This window comes from Homo sapiens, chromosome 18 (genome assembly GCF_000001405.40).
Source record: "Homo sapiens chromosome 18, GRCh38.p14 Primary Assembly".
In the NCBI taxonomy this organism is placed as follows: Eukaryota; Metazoa; Chordata; class Mammalia; order Primates; family Hominidae; genus Homo; species Homo sapiens.
In genome coordinates, this window is record NC_000018.10 from 5202135 (window position 1) to 5217272 (window position 15138).

General features: G+C 38.2%; 1 long non-coding RNA gene across 1 annotated transcript, besides 1 other annotated feature; it reads left to right on the top strand.

The window, feature by feature from the left end:
* Positions 1-7654: 7654 nt before the first annotated feature.
* Positions 7655-12182, top strand: LOC124904341 (uncharacterized). The gene is made up of 3 exons (XR_007066439.1): positions 7655-7837; positions 9244-9287; positions 12101-12182. It is a non-coding gene; the product is annotated as an uncharacterized LOC124904341 (long non-coding RNA).
* Positions 11871-13070: an enhancer, noted in NCBI's record as "BRD4-independent group 4 enhancer chr18:5214004-5215203 (GRCh37/hg19 assembly coordinates)". NCBI's record gives its function as "activates an origin of replication core promoter dependent on BRD2, P300/CBP, MED14 and CDK7 cofactors, and independent of BRD4, by STARR-seq in HCT116 cells {active_cell/tissue: HCT116}" and the evidence as "EXISTENCE:reporter gene assay evidence [ECO:0000049][PMID:35650434]".

The following is a 15138-nucleotide window of genomic DNA, read 5'->3' on the forward strand; positions in this document are numbered from 1 at the left end:
AGCATTCAACTAACTTAGCTTTCAACTCATATTCAAAATTGTGAATACACATTATAAAACTTTATCCAATAAATTCTGAATGTATAAATCTGTTTATAGCTTCCACTCTAAGTCAATTTAAGAAGAAACAATGGAAAAAAGTGAAAGAGAAAAATGGAAAGAAAAGAAGTGAAGAGAGAAGTTAAAAGATGGAAAAGGAATAAGGCAAGGAGAATGAAAAGAGGCAGGAAACAGAAAAAGAAGGAAAAGCATGCATAAGGGAGAAACATACAAAAGACAGAAAAGATGCATATTGAGATAGAAGAGATTTAAAAAAATAGGAGAAAGAGAAAAAAGATAATTTTTTAAAATATCACAAACAGGAGAGCCTAAATACAGTCCAAATTGAGAAACTGAATGCTCTTCTCATATCCTGCTCACTTAGGCTGTATGTTTGAGAGTAAACTTAATCACTATCTTTGGAAACACTTATTAATTTTAAGGCAATTGTTGAAAGCTCTTCATCTTTATTCAAGGGCTCCATTCAGAATTGGTGAGAGTCATGGTACTCTACACAGGGATTTCAGTGTCGGAGAAGAATTCTTCTTTAGAATATGATAGCTAAGATCATTGCAATAGTGACTAACTGGTTACTTTTAAGCTTCTATTAAAAATCAACTGATAACATTGAAATTCTTTGCAACCTTAGGGTAGACAAAGATTTCCTAGATAAGACACAAATAGCATGGGTCATAAAATAAAATAATAGATAAACTGAACCTCATCAAAATTAAAAATTTCTGCTATTTGAAAAATGCTGCTAAGAAAGTGAAAAGGCAAGCTACAGACTAGGAGAAAATATTCACAATACGTATATCTGACATACGTATTTGTAACTCTTGCAATTCATTAAGATGACGACCCAAATTAAAACTTGCCAAAATATTTGAGCAAACACTTCACAAAAGGAATACAATATGAATTGCCTATAAGCACATGAAGACTTCTCAACATCATAAACCATCAGAGAAATATAAATTAAAGCCACAGTGAAGTATCAATTACCTACCCAGTAGAATGGCAAGAGTTAAAAAGACCGACAATGTCGCGTTGATGAGATATGGAGCAACTAGAACTGTATTACATTGCTGGTAGGAATGTAAAACGCTTACATGCACTTTGGAAAACAGTTTTATAGTTTCTTGTAACATTATATATACACTTCCCATAAGACCCATTAGTTCCACTCCAAGGTGGTTACCCAAGAAAAATGAAAACCTGTGTCCACATAAAGACTTACACATGAATGGCTAACAGTAGCTCTATTCATCAGAGCCAAAAAGTGAAAACAACCTAGAAGTCCATCAACCTGTGTATGGATACTCATATTGTGGCATATACATGCAACAACACAGATAAATATTGAAAGCACGCTGAGCAAAAGAAGCCAGACACAACAGAGTACAGTGTATGCTCTACAATTCAATTTATGTGAAATTCTACAAAAGGAAAAACTAACTTGTTATTGACAGAAAGCAAATCATTGATTATCTGGGGCTTGGAAATTTGGAAAGGTATATTGGAACTGATTAAAAAGAGACATAAAGGAGCATTTTGGGATAATGGCAATGTACTATATCTTGACTGTACTAGTGGGTATATGGGTGTATAAATATATCAAAATTCATAGAACTGTTCACTTATAATGGATGCATTTTACTTTATATAATGCATTACTATAGAATTTCATCTAAAAATAAGTTTATAACAGTATAATATTTTTGTAAATAAAAATATGGGTGAGAATATCCAAAACATGGAATATTTTGAGAGCTAACCTTAATTCTAAAGGTATGTTAACTCGGTTTTTCCTAATTTAAAAAAATCTTTTTTAAATCTAAAATAATTTCACATTTTCTCCTCAACATTTTGGATTATTGTATTTAGCCAATATGAACGACTGAAAAATGAGTAAATAGATATAATATGTTGCAACTTAATCATTACCATTGTCTTCATTAATTTATTCAGCAAACATTTATTGATCCCTATTATATACTACAAACAGTATTAGATACTGAAGATTTGGAGCAATAAGACACAAGTGTACTTTCAAGTAGCTTAGAGTCCAGCGGAAAAAAGAGACAGGAGAAAAAGTGTGGGAGAGAGGAGCAGGGAGGGAAGAACACTGAGACCCTGCTGAGGCCAGCAAATATTTATCTATGGAGGTGTCAGGTGGCATGGTCATATGAAATCAGGGTACAGATGAGAATGCCACTAAACCAGTGGGATCCTGATATAGTTTGGATCTGTGTGCCCTCCAAATCTCATGTTGAGTTGTCATCCCCAGTGTTGGAGGTGGGGTCTGCAGGGAGGCATTTTGTTCAAGGGGGCGGATGGATCCCTCATGGCCTGGTATTGTCCTCAAGGTGGTGAGTGAGTTTTCAGGAGATCTGGTTATTTAAAAGTGTGCAGCACCTCCCCAACTCTCTTGCTCCTGCTTTTGCCATGTGATGTGCCTGCTTCTGTTTCACCTTCTGCCATGAATAAAATCTCTCTGAGGCCTCCCCAGAAGCTCAGCAGATGCTGGCATGATGCTTGTACAGTCTGCAGAACTGTGAGCCAATTAAACCTCTTTTCTTTACAAATTACCACCCAGCCTCAGGTATTTCTTTATAACAATGCAAGAACAGTGTAACACAGATCCAATTTGGGGAGAGAAGGAAGTTTAGCCAAGAGGGACGCTCTAACAAAGTAAGAAAAATAAAAGTCATTCTGGACTAGAGGTTGTGATGTCAAAAGTTAAGCTTGATGAAAACAAAGAAGTAAGGCTAGCAGGACTGCAGGCAGGATTTCTGAGTTTAAAGTTTCCGATGCGTAGCCCTTCTGGATGACAATAAGGTCTTGAGAGTGGCCTTGGAAGTAAAAGATCCGTGAGAGTGAAGTGTTGGGGCTGTCGAGTCACCTTGAATAATGGGTGAGCACAGAGGTGGAGGAGAAGACGGTGAAACACACAGCATTCTCTTCTATGAATGGGGGTGGGGGAGGATAGTTATAAATATTAAGTTTCTGCCAGATAAATGTAAGGATAAAAAGAGTCAAAAGAGTTTTGAATAAGCTAACAATGTTTATGTAGCATAATAAAGTTTGGAAATTGAAATCGATGGCTTTCATAGTCAGTAGTTCCTTTTTTTTTTTTTTATACCAGTTTTCATAGCAATAGTAGACAAGTAGACTTCTAGGCTGAAACGCATTGTTTCAGGAACAGACTGAGCTCAATTTAGAAAATAAACACTCAAATTTTTGGCTTCTGAATTTTAAAATATGATCTTCAAATCAGGAGCAGAGACTAAAGTCTTGAACAGCAAGCTTTTCATAAATGCCAGGGTGAGGGGTGGTGTGGCTGGAGGAGGAGCGGGTAGGTTTTTTAACTCCTAACCTCAAGGGGTCAAAACATAAAGTGTCAAAGAGGAACAGAGGTGACGAGATAAAAGCCACAAAAGTATTGCCAGTTTTTCTACCCTGAAGGAAGGAAATGTTTTTTTGTTGTTTTATTTTGCTGGAAAACTCATTCTGTGCTTCAGGGCAAGAGTTCTTTTTTTTCTTTTTCTTTTTCTTTTTTTTTTTTTTTTTCATTTTATGCCTTTCCTCAGAGGTTGTATTTAAACTCAAGGGGGTGAAGCAGCCAATTTGGAGACACTGTTCTCCTCAGGAAGTCATGCCATATGACTGTGACTTTGTCTATTCTTTGCTTGTGGAACTTGGTTCCTGATCTATCATCTAGATGTCCACATCTCACCCTGGTCCCTGATCCCTCAGAGCTCTGGAGTTAAGAAGGACCTAGAAGGTGGCCTCAAGTTCATCTGCCCAGACACCTACTCTGCTATTGATATTTTATCTCTCTAGCATCAGCTTGACATTTTTCAAGCTGTATATATTCTTGGAAGTAAAATGAAGGTCTTGGGATGTCTCCAAATTCATCTGGGCCTCCAGTTATTTTCCCCCTTGAGGTCCCACCTCTCCTGCAACTGACCAACGTTGAGATGTAGCCTCAGTCTGCTTTTTTGGAAGCCCAAACCACCTGCTAAATCTATATTGTCATATCCATCCTTGTCTATGAGAGATCCAAACTCATAAACATGTCCTACAAATTTGATCCGGCCCCTGCCTCATGTCTAACTTTGTATCTCACCACTCCCTGCTTGTATGTCATATTCCTCTAACACTGTTTCCACATCATCTGATGTTCCTGATCTGGTATCTTTTACCATGCTCTTCCTCCTGCCTGGAATTCCCTACTCACATTTCCTCTTCACTTGGCTAATTCCTACTTATTCCTCCAGGCAAGGCCCAGGCCTCCTTCTGGAAGCTTTCTGTGCTCCATGCAGGGTTAAGTGTCCCTCCCCTGTCTTGCAAGAATCCCTATGTTCATGTCTGTGTGAGTAGTGCACTGGACTATAATGAACTGCTGCCTTCCTTACTAAACTATGAGTTCCTCAAGGAAAGGTTGGTTATGTCTTATCTTTTCAATCCAATGCCCAGCACTTTTCACAGCACATAATAAAAATTATAAATATTTTAAAAATAAATGTTTATTGAATACATGAACGTTCTAATGAATTCATTTAAATACTATTATTTTTAAGATAGTTTATATAAATGAAACAGGGCTTGGTGAATACATAGCATTGTCTCTGTGAAATACATATTTTATTATATGTATATAAGGTGTGCATGCATGTATGTATATATAAATGTATTATTAGAAATCATGTGTATTTTAAACAATTTTATGGAAATTTTCAAATATATGCAAAAGTAAAAAAATATAATGAACTCTTTCCCCATTTACTCCTCATACAGTGGTGGTATTTAGTACTTTATGGCAAATCTTGTTCCATCTATACCTATACCCACACCCAATCTTCCCACCCCCAGATATTTTGAAGTGCACCTCTGATACTATACCACTTCACTTGAAACTATTTCAGTACATATCTCTAAAAATTAAGGATTTAAATATTTAAATATAATCACACTACTATCATGCCTCTAAAAATTATTCTTAACTGTATCTGAAGGTAATCAAAATTAGTATCTTTATTCTTCTCAACAACAATATATCCTTAAAATGCTTTAACTCTGATCACACTCTTCTCAACATTTACATATTAGTATCAAATATTTTAGTTCTAGCCATTCTCCCCAAAAATTAGATGTTATTATTCTAGTTTTTATAGAATAAACATTTGCTTATTAACCTATATACAAATAGCTAGCTCACTTTTAAAATCCCTTATGTATGATCTTTCATAATAAACCCTTAGATCGTGTTTATCTAAAGTGTCTTTATTCCACCACTGTTCTTGAAAAACAGTTTCACTGAGCAGGTTTCTAGATTGAGTGGTTATTTTTTCTTAGTACATTAAGCATTTATCTGTTTCTTAGTTTTTGACAGGGATGGATTACACTGGAAAACCCCTGCAGATAACCTCGACAGAATGTTTCCTATCAGTGCCATCTCTAGCAGCAGAGGTAGAATGAATTCTTCTCTCCACTCAGAATGGGCTCAGGCTAAGCCCAGTGTGCAGATAAAATCTTAGCTTTCTCAGCAATCACTGTGATCTCATTTCTTACCTAATTTAGATAAAGATGGTTAAATTAAGCACTTTGAGTACCCAGGCTTTTGAAACAGAAGTGTATGTCCAGGGATATAGTGGTCAAAGAGAAAACTGTGCATACTCTTCCCTTTTTGTCAGAGCCCTGCATCCTCGGGAGAGTTTTCTCTCCAGAAAAGCTCAAAGCTCTGGCCGGGCCCTTGATGCAGGGAACAATGTGTACACTGCAAGGAGCTGGCAGACCAGTCATAGGATTCTGGCCCTTTGAAGACAAGGTCAGGCCTCAGGAGCTGTCTCTGGGACTATTGGGGAGCCAGCATGTGCAACCCTCTAATGCTTGCTTCTTTATCTCTAAAATAGCCAGAAATGTCAGATTGCTCAGCAATTCGCACATGTAATGTGCAGAGATAGAGGATGGTTCAAGACTGTCAGTTCCTAAACCTTCTGATGCTTTTACCTTTGGAATGTCTTTGTTTCTCAAATTTGTATAAGAAATCCTGACTATGCACATTTCCCTGACACAAGCATCTGGCACCTTTGCTATGACTATTCAGCATGAAACTGTTCGCTGCTTAATGCAATGCTGTAACACAGGACAAATGAGGACAGAAGTGCACAAAGGGATTGAAGTTTATGCTTAAAGCTAAGATAGTGTATGATTTCACCTGTAACTTGCCTTTAACTTCAGAAGTTTGGTTGGCATATTCATTACTGAGGGCAAGGTTTTCCGTGAGCTGACTGATGATTACACACATAGGATTCAGAAGTATGTGAAGAACAGTTCTTTAATTCAGGTTCAAGTTTCCTATTAGCAACCATACAGTGTCTACCTTGAATAGTGTGAAGAGAATGGATTATCCATACTATTACCCTTATACCACCTGCTTTTGAAAGTCTTCATCCTCAAGTTAGGGGTTACTCCTGTCCTGAACATTGTATCCTCTTCTGTCAACAGGACCTGCCACTTCTCATTGGCCCTACCTTAGTTATCAGCCATTTAGTTTCATCTGCTTTTCCCCTGTGTGTTGCTTAAGGGGCCTCGGCTCACAGTGAGAGCAAGAAATGGATGAAGGAAAGGTGCCTTGGTCCTGAGTAAAGCCTCAGGACAAAGCATCTTCACTACTAGGGCTTTTTACACAACCAAGAGTGACTTCTTAGCTTAAGGCCCATGTACCAAAGGAGGCTTTGTCTCTTTTTCTTCTTTGTCTGAAAACCCCAGAGTTAGTAGTTATTAATAAAAACATGCCAATTTGAGACAAAAACAATACAAAGGTGAGAGATATCTGGAGATTAAGCAGTGCTTTTATTTCCTATTCTACAAACATTTTTGAGTGCCTGTTGTGTAATACGCACTGATCTGGTATTCATCAGTGAAAATAAAGATCTCTGACTTTGTGGAAGTTACATTCTAGCAAGGGAGCTTACATCTTGATATATCAATGTAAATCATGATTAAGTGGTAGGAGAAAAGCCACTGTATTTGAAAAGAGCTTATTACCAGACACCGGGCCTAGTTCTAGGGTAGAGAGAGATGGGACTGAAAAGTCTTACCTGAATAATTGACATTTGGTCTGAAATCTGAAATATAAGTAAGAATTAACTACCTAGAATATTTATTCTTTTATCCCTGACTCTCCAAATGATGAGGTGCTAAAATACATAAACATATATATAATAAACACAATAAATGTTTAACAAGAGGAATTGGAATAGTAGTCATGGTAACCAGTGGACTACAATCCTACCTGTTCTTCAGATTCCATTTTCACACACTCCAGACCGCATTGCTGCCTGCCAGCAGGGACCAGAATGTAATTGCCCTGGGAACATTGGCTCATTGGGGCCCCTAATCAACTAATCCCCCTGTATTAGGGTTCTCCAGAGAAAAAGAAAAATTATATACATATATTTATATATATGTATATATATGTAAAGAGGTTTATTATGGGAATTGTCTCACATGCTTATGGAGGTTGAGAAGTCCTGCAATCTATTATCTGCAAGCTGGAGGCCCAGGAGAGCTGGTGGTATAATTCAGTCCAACCCTGAAGACCTGAGAACCAGGGGAGCCAATGGTGAAGTCTTGGTCCAAGTTCCAAGGCCTGAGAACCAGAAATGCCAATGTCCAAAAGCAAGAGTGGATGAATGTCCCAGCTCAAATACAGAACACCAGTGTTCCCTTCCTCTGCCTTTTTGTTTTATTGGGCACTCAGTGGACCGGATGATGCCCATCCACACTGGTAAGGGTGGATCTGCTTTACTCACTCCACTGATTCAAATGCTCATCTCTTTCAGAAACACCCTCACAGACACACCCAGAAACAATGTTTCACCAGCTATCCAGGCATCCCTTAATCCAGTCAAGTTGACACATGAAACTAACCATCATACTACCATTCCTTGTCTCATGCTTTTGCATCTGAATGCCATCTCCTTGGCAATATCATAAGTTCCTAGAAAGTATCTGATGGACCTTCTTTCATGTTCCTCAGAGGCCATGGTTCCAAGACCTTCTAGGCAATGAGGAAATACTTGTTTACTTTTAAATTAATATAATGTATTACAAAGGTCAGGTTTTAATCTAAGCATTTAAATGCCAAACCAAAGTTTTTGTGTACCTTCCTAAAATATGTTTCAACTAAATTTTAATATAATATATATTTATATATTCATAAGTATAGGTTTTGTGCTTAAGAAAAGCAATACTTATGGCCTGAACTTTATCATTTCTTTAGGATACTATTCTTATTTCCATTTTGAATGAGCATTTGTTGATTATTTATCACATTATGAAGACACACATTGAAAATATAATTTAGTTTTATGACAAACTAGAAAAGGGCCATGTAGTATAGAAGAATGAGAACTTAGGAGTAAGACAGGGTTAAATATCTAGCTATGAGAATGAATGCATATTCCTGAGCCCCCATTTTCTACATGCTAAAATTGGGAAATTAATAGCCAACACATAGAGTTTGGAAGAAAATTAAGTGATGCAACAAATGACAAAATACAGTGTTTGCTCAATGAACAGCACTTAGGGGCAGTAGTACTAGTAGCATAGCAGAGATAGTAGTAGTTTTTGTTATTTAATATCAAGTTTTATGACCAGGCTTAAGTCCAAAAATCTATGCAATATTTTTTTCTGCATAAAGCTGCTTCTTACCAAAATGAGTTGAACCTAAATGAATATGTAATCACTGTAAAGTTATATGGATAAATGATGTTTAAGATTATTCATTAAATTCTCATTGAGACATCTTTACTGAATATTATATACAAGGCAGAAGATTAATTGCTGTACGAGATATAAAAATAACACAGGATCACAGGATCCCTGACCTCAAGGTTACTAAAATCTAATAAAGGAGACAGAAATACATATAAATCACTATATTGAAGGGCAGAATAGAATTAAATGCCATATAACCATGTAAAGAAAGACCATAGAATTCAAACAATGGACAGGTTACTTTCAATTTTATAGAAATGAGTTTTACATAAGTTAAAGTTAGAGAATCACAGGCAAAAAAAAATGTGTAGAGGTTTACTTTAATAGACAAATATCCATAGATACATGTGCCTTTGTCCATGGAAAAGCATTGATTTGACTCTGGTCCTGATATTTGATATTTTGAATGAACAGCAACCCAACATAGAGGAAAAGCTGAACACCACCAACATTTTCAGGTATTTGTTTTGAACAACATAATTTTATTGTCTACTGAGTCTATATTGTAACTCACAGGTTTAGACATACTTATATGGGTATATGTTATATTTTCAAGACTGTCCTGCAATGCCAGGCAGAGAACAGCAATTGCTTGGAGTTCACATTTACACCACCACAACCTTCATCTTTAGCCCATCTTGGAAAGGATAGTGTCCATTCCCGTAATCTTGCTGTGATGACACTGTGTTTTGGTAATGGAACTTTTAAATGTCTTCTGCCTCTCTGGATCCCTGGAGTTAGACTATGTACATCATTGATTATCCCTTCCCCGGCCCCCAGCTAGAACTCTTGAGATAATAAATTCTCATTATAAGCAATGGCTTATTGTAGCTACAACATATCCTAGCCCCCAGTCAAGGAGATTCTCTATTTACCAAAACTACTACTGGTTGATGGTCCCTAATCCAAAAATTCAAAATCCAAAATGCTCCAAAACAGGAAACTTTTGGAACACTGACATGAGGTGTTAGTCCATTTTCACGCTGCTGACAAAGACATACCCGAGACTGGGAAGAAAAAGAGGTTTAATTGGACTTACAGTTCCACATGGCTGGGGAGGCCTCAGAATCATGGCGGCGGGGTGAAAGGGACTTCTTACATGGTGGCAGCAAGAGAAAATGAGGAATATGCAAAAGCAGAAACCACTGATAAACCCATAAGATCTCATGAGACGTATTCACTATCATGAAAATAGCACAGGAAAGACGGGCCCCTATGATTCAAGTACCTCCCCCTAGGTCCCTCCCACAACGTGTGGGAATTCTGGGAGATACAATTCAAGTTGAGATTTGGTAGGGACACAGCCAAACCATATCACATGACATCACAAGTAGAAAATTCTACGTAAGTAGAATTAACACAAACTTTGCTTCATGCATGAAATTATTTAAAACATTGCATAAAAATTACCTTAAGGGTATATATATATATATATATATATATATATATATATAGTATATATGAAATATAAATGAATTTTGTGTTTACATTGGGGTCTTATATCCCCAATGATATCTCGTTATGTACATGAAAATATCTCATTATGTACATGAAAATATCTCAAGATATCTCATTATGTACATGAAAATATCATTATGTACATGAAAAGATATCTCATTATGTACATGAAAATATTCCAAAATCAGAAAAAAAAATCCAAACTCTGAAGCAGTTATGGTTCCAAGCATTTTGAACAAGGGATAATCAATCTGTATTGAGGTAAAATAATAACGAACAATATTAATAATAATTCTTTTCAAAAACCAGTGAGATGCTATCTTTAAAATAAGACTTCACATCTTATCTCTTCTGCAGGCCCTCTGTCTATGCAAACAGCCCCATGCTTCAATTTAACTAAGTCTTAAACTGCAAGCTGTTAGGGAAATCAAAGGTCTACTGTGTTCTTGGGAATTTCCGCATAGAGGCTTTGAGCCCAAGATTGAGCTATTCCTGCCCTTTAACTTTCTTTTCCCCCTCCAGCATACAATCCCCAAAATTCTTTCATTTAAATGACATTTGTGAATATCTCTGTGCTAAACCCTGGAAATACTAATGCGAATAAGGCACTCTCTGCACTCAAGAAGTTCACCCTATGGTGGAAGAGAGCGACTTTAAAGGAATAATGATGTCAGCATAATAAGCACAATAAAGTGGTGAAATAATTTACTATGCCCAAAGGCAGGGGCATCACAGTGAGAAGGGACGACTTACTTGTTGATTCATAAATTTAGGTGAGGACCTGAGCATGGATAGTTCCACTCTTTCTTTTTCTTATTTTTCCCTTCAAGCGAAAAAGGAGTAAAAAGGAAAACTCTCCAAAATGTCTTAGCTGGTGGTCTTTGAGCATGGTGACTAGATGCACCTCTAAGTGTTTTGTTTCCTTGTACCTGGATCCAGCCTGAGTGGAAGTCCTCTTCCATTACCTGATTTTCAACTTCAGTCTCGCCCCTGAACACTTGGTGCTCAGCTGTCTTCCCCCTGGGACAAGTCTCTCCCCTACCCCAATGCCCAATTCAAACTGTACCCCAGTCACTGCCTTGCAGCCTAGGCTCTGTTGGTATGATGTTGTGAGGGAGGATGCGTCTTCCCTAATCTTAATGTTTCCTTCCCAGTTGGAGACGCACCTTAGCTTTCATTTACTAATTTAGTCAACCAACCAATATTAATTGAATGACTACCATATGCCAGGCACTTTCTATACCCTGTCTTCATGAAATTTTCATTATACAGACATTGTCTATGGAGGATAAACAAGTAGTAGGAATATATTAGGGCGGGGGGTGAAGAGTACTATGGAGGAAAATAGAGTAAAGAGATAGACTGTGCTGGGTAGAGGGTTCCAGATATTTTATATAGGATAGTTAGGGAAAGCTGAGAAAAGGACATTTGAGTAAAGACCTAAAAGAATATGAAGTTTTGGAGTTCAAAGAAGTATTTCAGTCTGGAGATATAATTTTGGGATCATCATAGACAAGGCCATGAGACTCGAGGAGAGCAAATGGGAAGAGAATAAGACAAATAAGAGTTTTAAGGATTGAATCTGAAATATTCCAGTGTTTGAAAATTAGGAAGATGAGGAGAAACCAATAAAGGAGACAGGAGAAGCAGTCAATGAAGTAGCTTAATACCACTGCCTCTTTTCTCTCTCTCTCCCTCTGTCTCTCTGCTTCTTTCTTATTTCTGCCTGAAGGAATAACTTAATTCACTGATAAGTTTGGAGGAAAACCTGATCATGGATTGTCCCACTCCTTCTTCTCTCCTTGCCTTTAAGGAGCTGGCTGCCTACAGAAAGCCTGTGTTCTGCTCTGCTTCCCTATGTGAAAATTACCAGAGACAGCATAACAAAGCATGTGATTTTCTGTGCTGCCTGTGACTCTGGTGGGTAAGTCTGCCTCATTCTGGAATTCAGTATTATAAAGCCCATTTGTCTGCAGCTCTAAGACACATTTGCCAATATCAGATTTACCAGTAATAAAGACAGTGTTTTAATCTGTCTGCCTGACTCCTTTGCCTTATCTCCTGATTGGCTCAAAACTCTGGCCAGCAAGAAGATCAACAGTTCATCAGGCCACCTCAAAACCCAGTATATTAGAGCATGAATTCAGACACCTATGGTCTGCAAGAATACTTTCAACTTTAAAAAGAAGTCCATGATTTACATTCCTGCCTGTCACTCAGAAGCCAAAAAAGAGACAGAATGCCATCGACTCAGAGATATTAAAAGTGGAAGAAGAATAAGATCATCTGTTCACAGCTTTGTGAAGAGGAAACTAAATCCCAGAGAAAGAAACCTAACAAGTGGCAGAACCAGAACTATGACTCAGATCTCTTGATTCCCATGCAGTCCAAGAAGGACTTTATCTATGAGAAGAAGGTATTCAGTTTCATTCATTCCTGAAAAAGAAACAAAACAAAACATTAAGCTGTCTTCCAGAGTATTTGTCTCCAAGCTATCCCCACTGTTTTCTTCACATGCATCTGTTGACCCATTATATAGCCCAAAAAAAATATAAAAATAAAGAAAAAGAAAAAAAGAGAGAGGGAGAGAACTGGATATTTAGCCACTTGAGTAATGCCACACTTAAGCACTGAAGTACCTTTCGCTCAGTGATTTTTACTTGATCAAAGAAAAAGCCTATTACTTCCTGTAATTACCTGGGTAACTGAAGAAATGTCTACTGATGATTCATAATAGCTAACCTCAGAAGAACCCTTACCATTGTTTCCTTTGTGACTTTCACGTTCTTCTAACTGCTTTGAGCTGTAGAAGCCTTCCTCACTCTCAGGTGGTCTTACCTTCTTCTCAGAGAGAATGAAGACTTCAGAAAGAAATGTCCCTTCCCAGCCTGGACAACAGAGTGAGATCTCATCTCTACAAAAAAATTTTAAAAATTAGCCAGCCATGGTGGCTCATACATGTTGTCCCAGCTTATAAGGAGACTGAGGTGGAAGGACCACTCAAACCTGGGAAGTCCAGGTTGCAATGAGCCATGATCACGCTACTGCGCTCCAGCCTGGGTGACAGAACAAGACCCTGTCTCCACCAAAAAAAAAAAAAAAAAAAAAGCACTTTCCCTCCCATATCCAACCCTACACTCAGCTATAGACACACCAGCTTCTCCTTCATTCTTTCGGTTACAACAGAAGAGGTGTCCTTCCTCTTATCAGAAACCAGTCCTCAGATTGGTCCTCCATCTCTCCTCAGATCAATCCTTTCCCACCTTCTCAGATAACACACTACCGTCAATTACCTCTTCCCTCCCCTGTGTATTCAGCTGACCTCCCACATCTGGATTCTTCCTATCAATGTTTAACAAGCTCAAATATCTTCCAAACAAAACCAGAAAACCACTTTTCTCAGTGCCACACTCATCCCACCTATAACCATATTCAGGACCAGATTAGAGTCTTCAGAGAACCTAAGTATTGAGATGATCTTTCTCATATGTAATTCAAACATAAAGATAACTGAGAAAAAGCTCTATTAAAGTATGAGGTTTTTGATGAAGATTCCTCTAGTTCCTCATTTTAAAATTGTCAAATACTAAATTATTTCCAAGTTTTGTTGTTGTTGTTGTTTTGGTGTTCCTGTTTTGCTAATGCCTTAAGCATGTAGTCAATCTGCTAAATGGAAGATCCAGAACTTCCCTTTCCCTTTTGACGCCCAGCTGTCGTATATTCTCTCCCCATTCATTTGAATTTTCTATAACTTGCTGCCTTCAATTCCTCATTTCTCTTCCTTTTATTTCATCTATCTGACTTCTACCCTAATTATTCCACCAAAAGAGCTATCACTGACTTCCAAGACATCTAACAGCTATTTCAGTCCTTATCTTACTTGATCTCTCAATAGACTGATTCTATTGACCACCTTATTCCTGTTTTTTTTTGTGTGTGTTTGTTTGTTTGCTTTGTTTTGTTTTTTTGAGACGGTGTCTTGCTCTGTTCCCCAGGCCAGAATGCCATGGTGCCACCATGGCTCACTGCAGCCTCAACCTCCTGGGCTCAGGAAATCCTCAGCCTCCCAAGTAGCTGGGACCACAGACACATGCCACCATGCCCAGCTAATTTTTTGATTTTCTGTAGAGATGAGGTCTCACTATGTTGCTCGGGCCGATCTTGAACTCCTGGGCTCAAATGATCGTCTCACCTTGACCTCCCAAAGTGCTCAGATTACAGGTATGAGCCACTGCACCTGGCCCATCCCCTTTTTTTGAACTGCTCTTTTCTCTGTGTTTTTTTTTCTTTTTTCTTTTTTTAACATTCTTCTGGCTTTCCTCCTTCTCCTCTGACAGCTTCTTCTCAGTCCTTCTCCTTTATGAGTTTGTAAGTGAGAGAACCTAAGGGCTCTTCCTAGATCCTTTCCTGTTTTCATTCTCTATATTTTCTCTAGGCAATTCCATCCACTCCTATGGTTTCAACTACCATGTATTATTTATTTTTTTTTTTGAGACGGAGTCTCGCTCTGTCGCCCAGGCTGGAGGGCAGTGGCGCGATCTTGGCTCACTGCAAGCTCTGCCTCCCGGGTTCACGCCATTCTCCTGCCTCAGCCTCCCGAGTAGCTGGGACTACAGGAGCCCACCACTATGCCTGGCTAATTTTTTTGTATTTTTAGTAGAGACGGGGTTTCATCGTGTTAGCCAGGATGGTCTCGATCTTCTGACCTCGTGATCTGCCTGTCTCGGCCTACCAAAGTGCTGGGATTACAGGCATGAGCCACCGCGCCCGGCCTCAACTACCATGTATTTTTAAAGGAATCTTCCAAGCCAGAGAGCATTTTTAAGAGTAAAGGAGGGGTACCATTGGCAA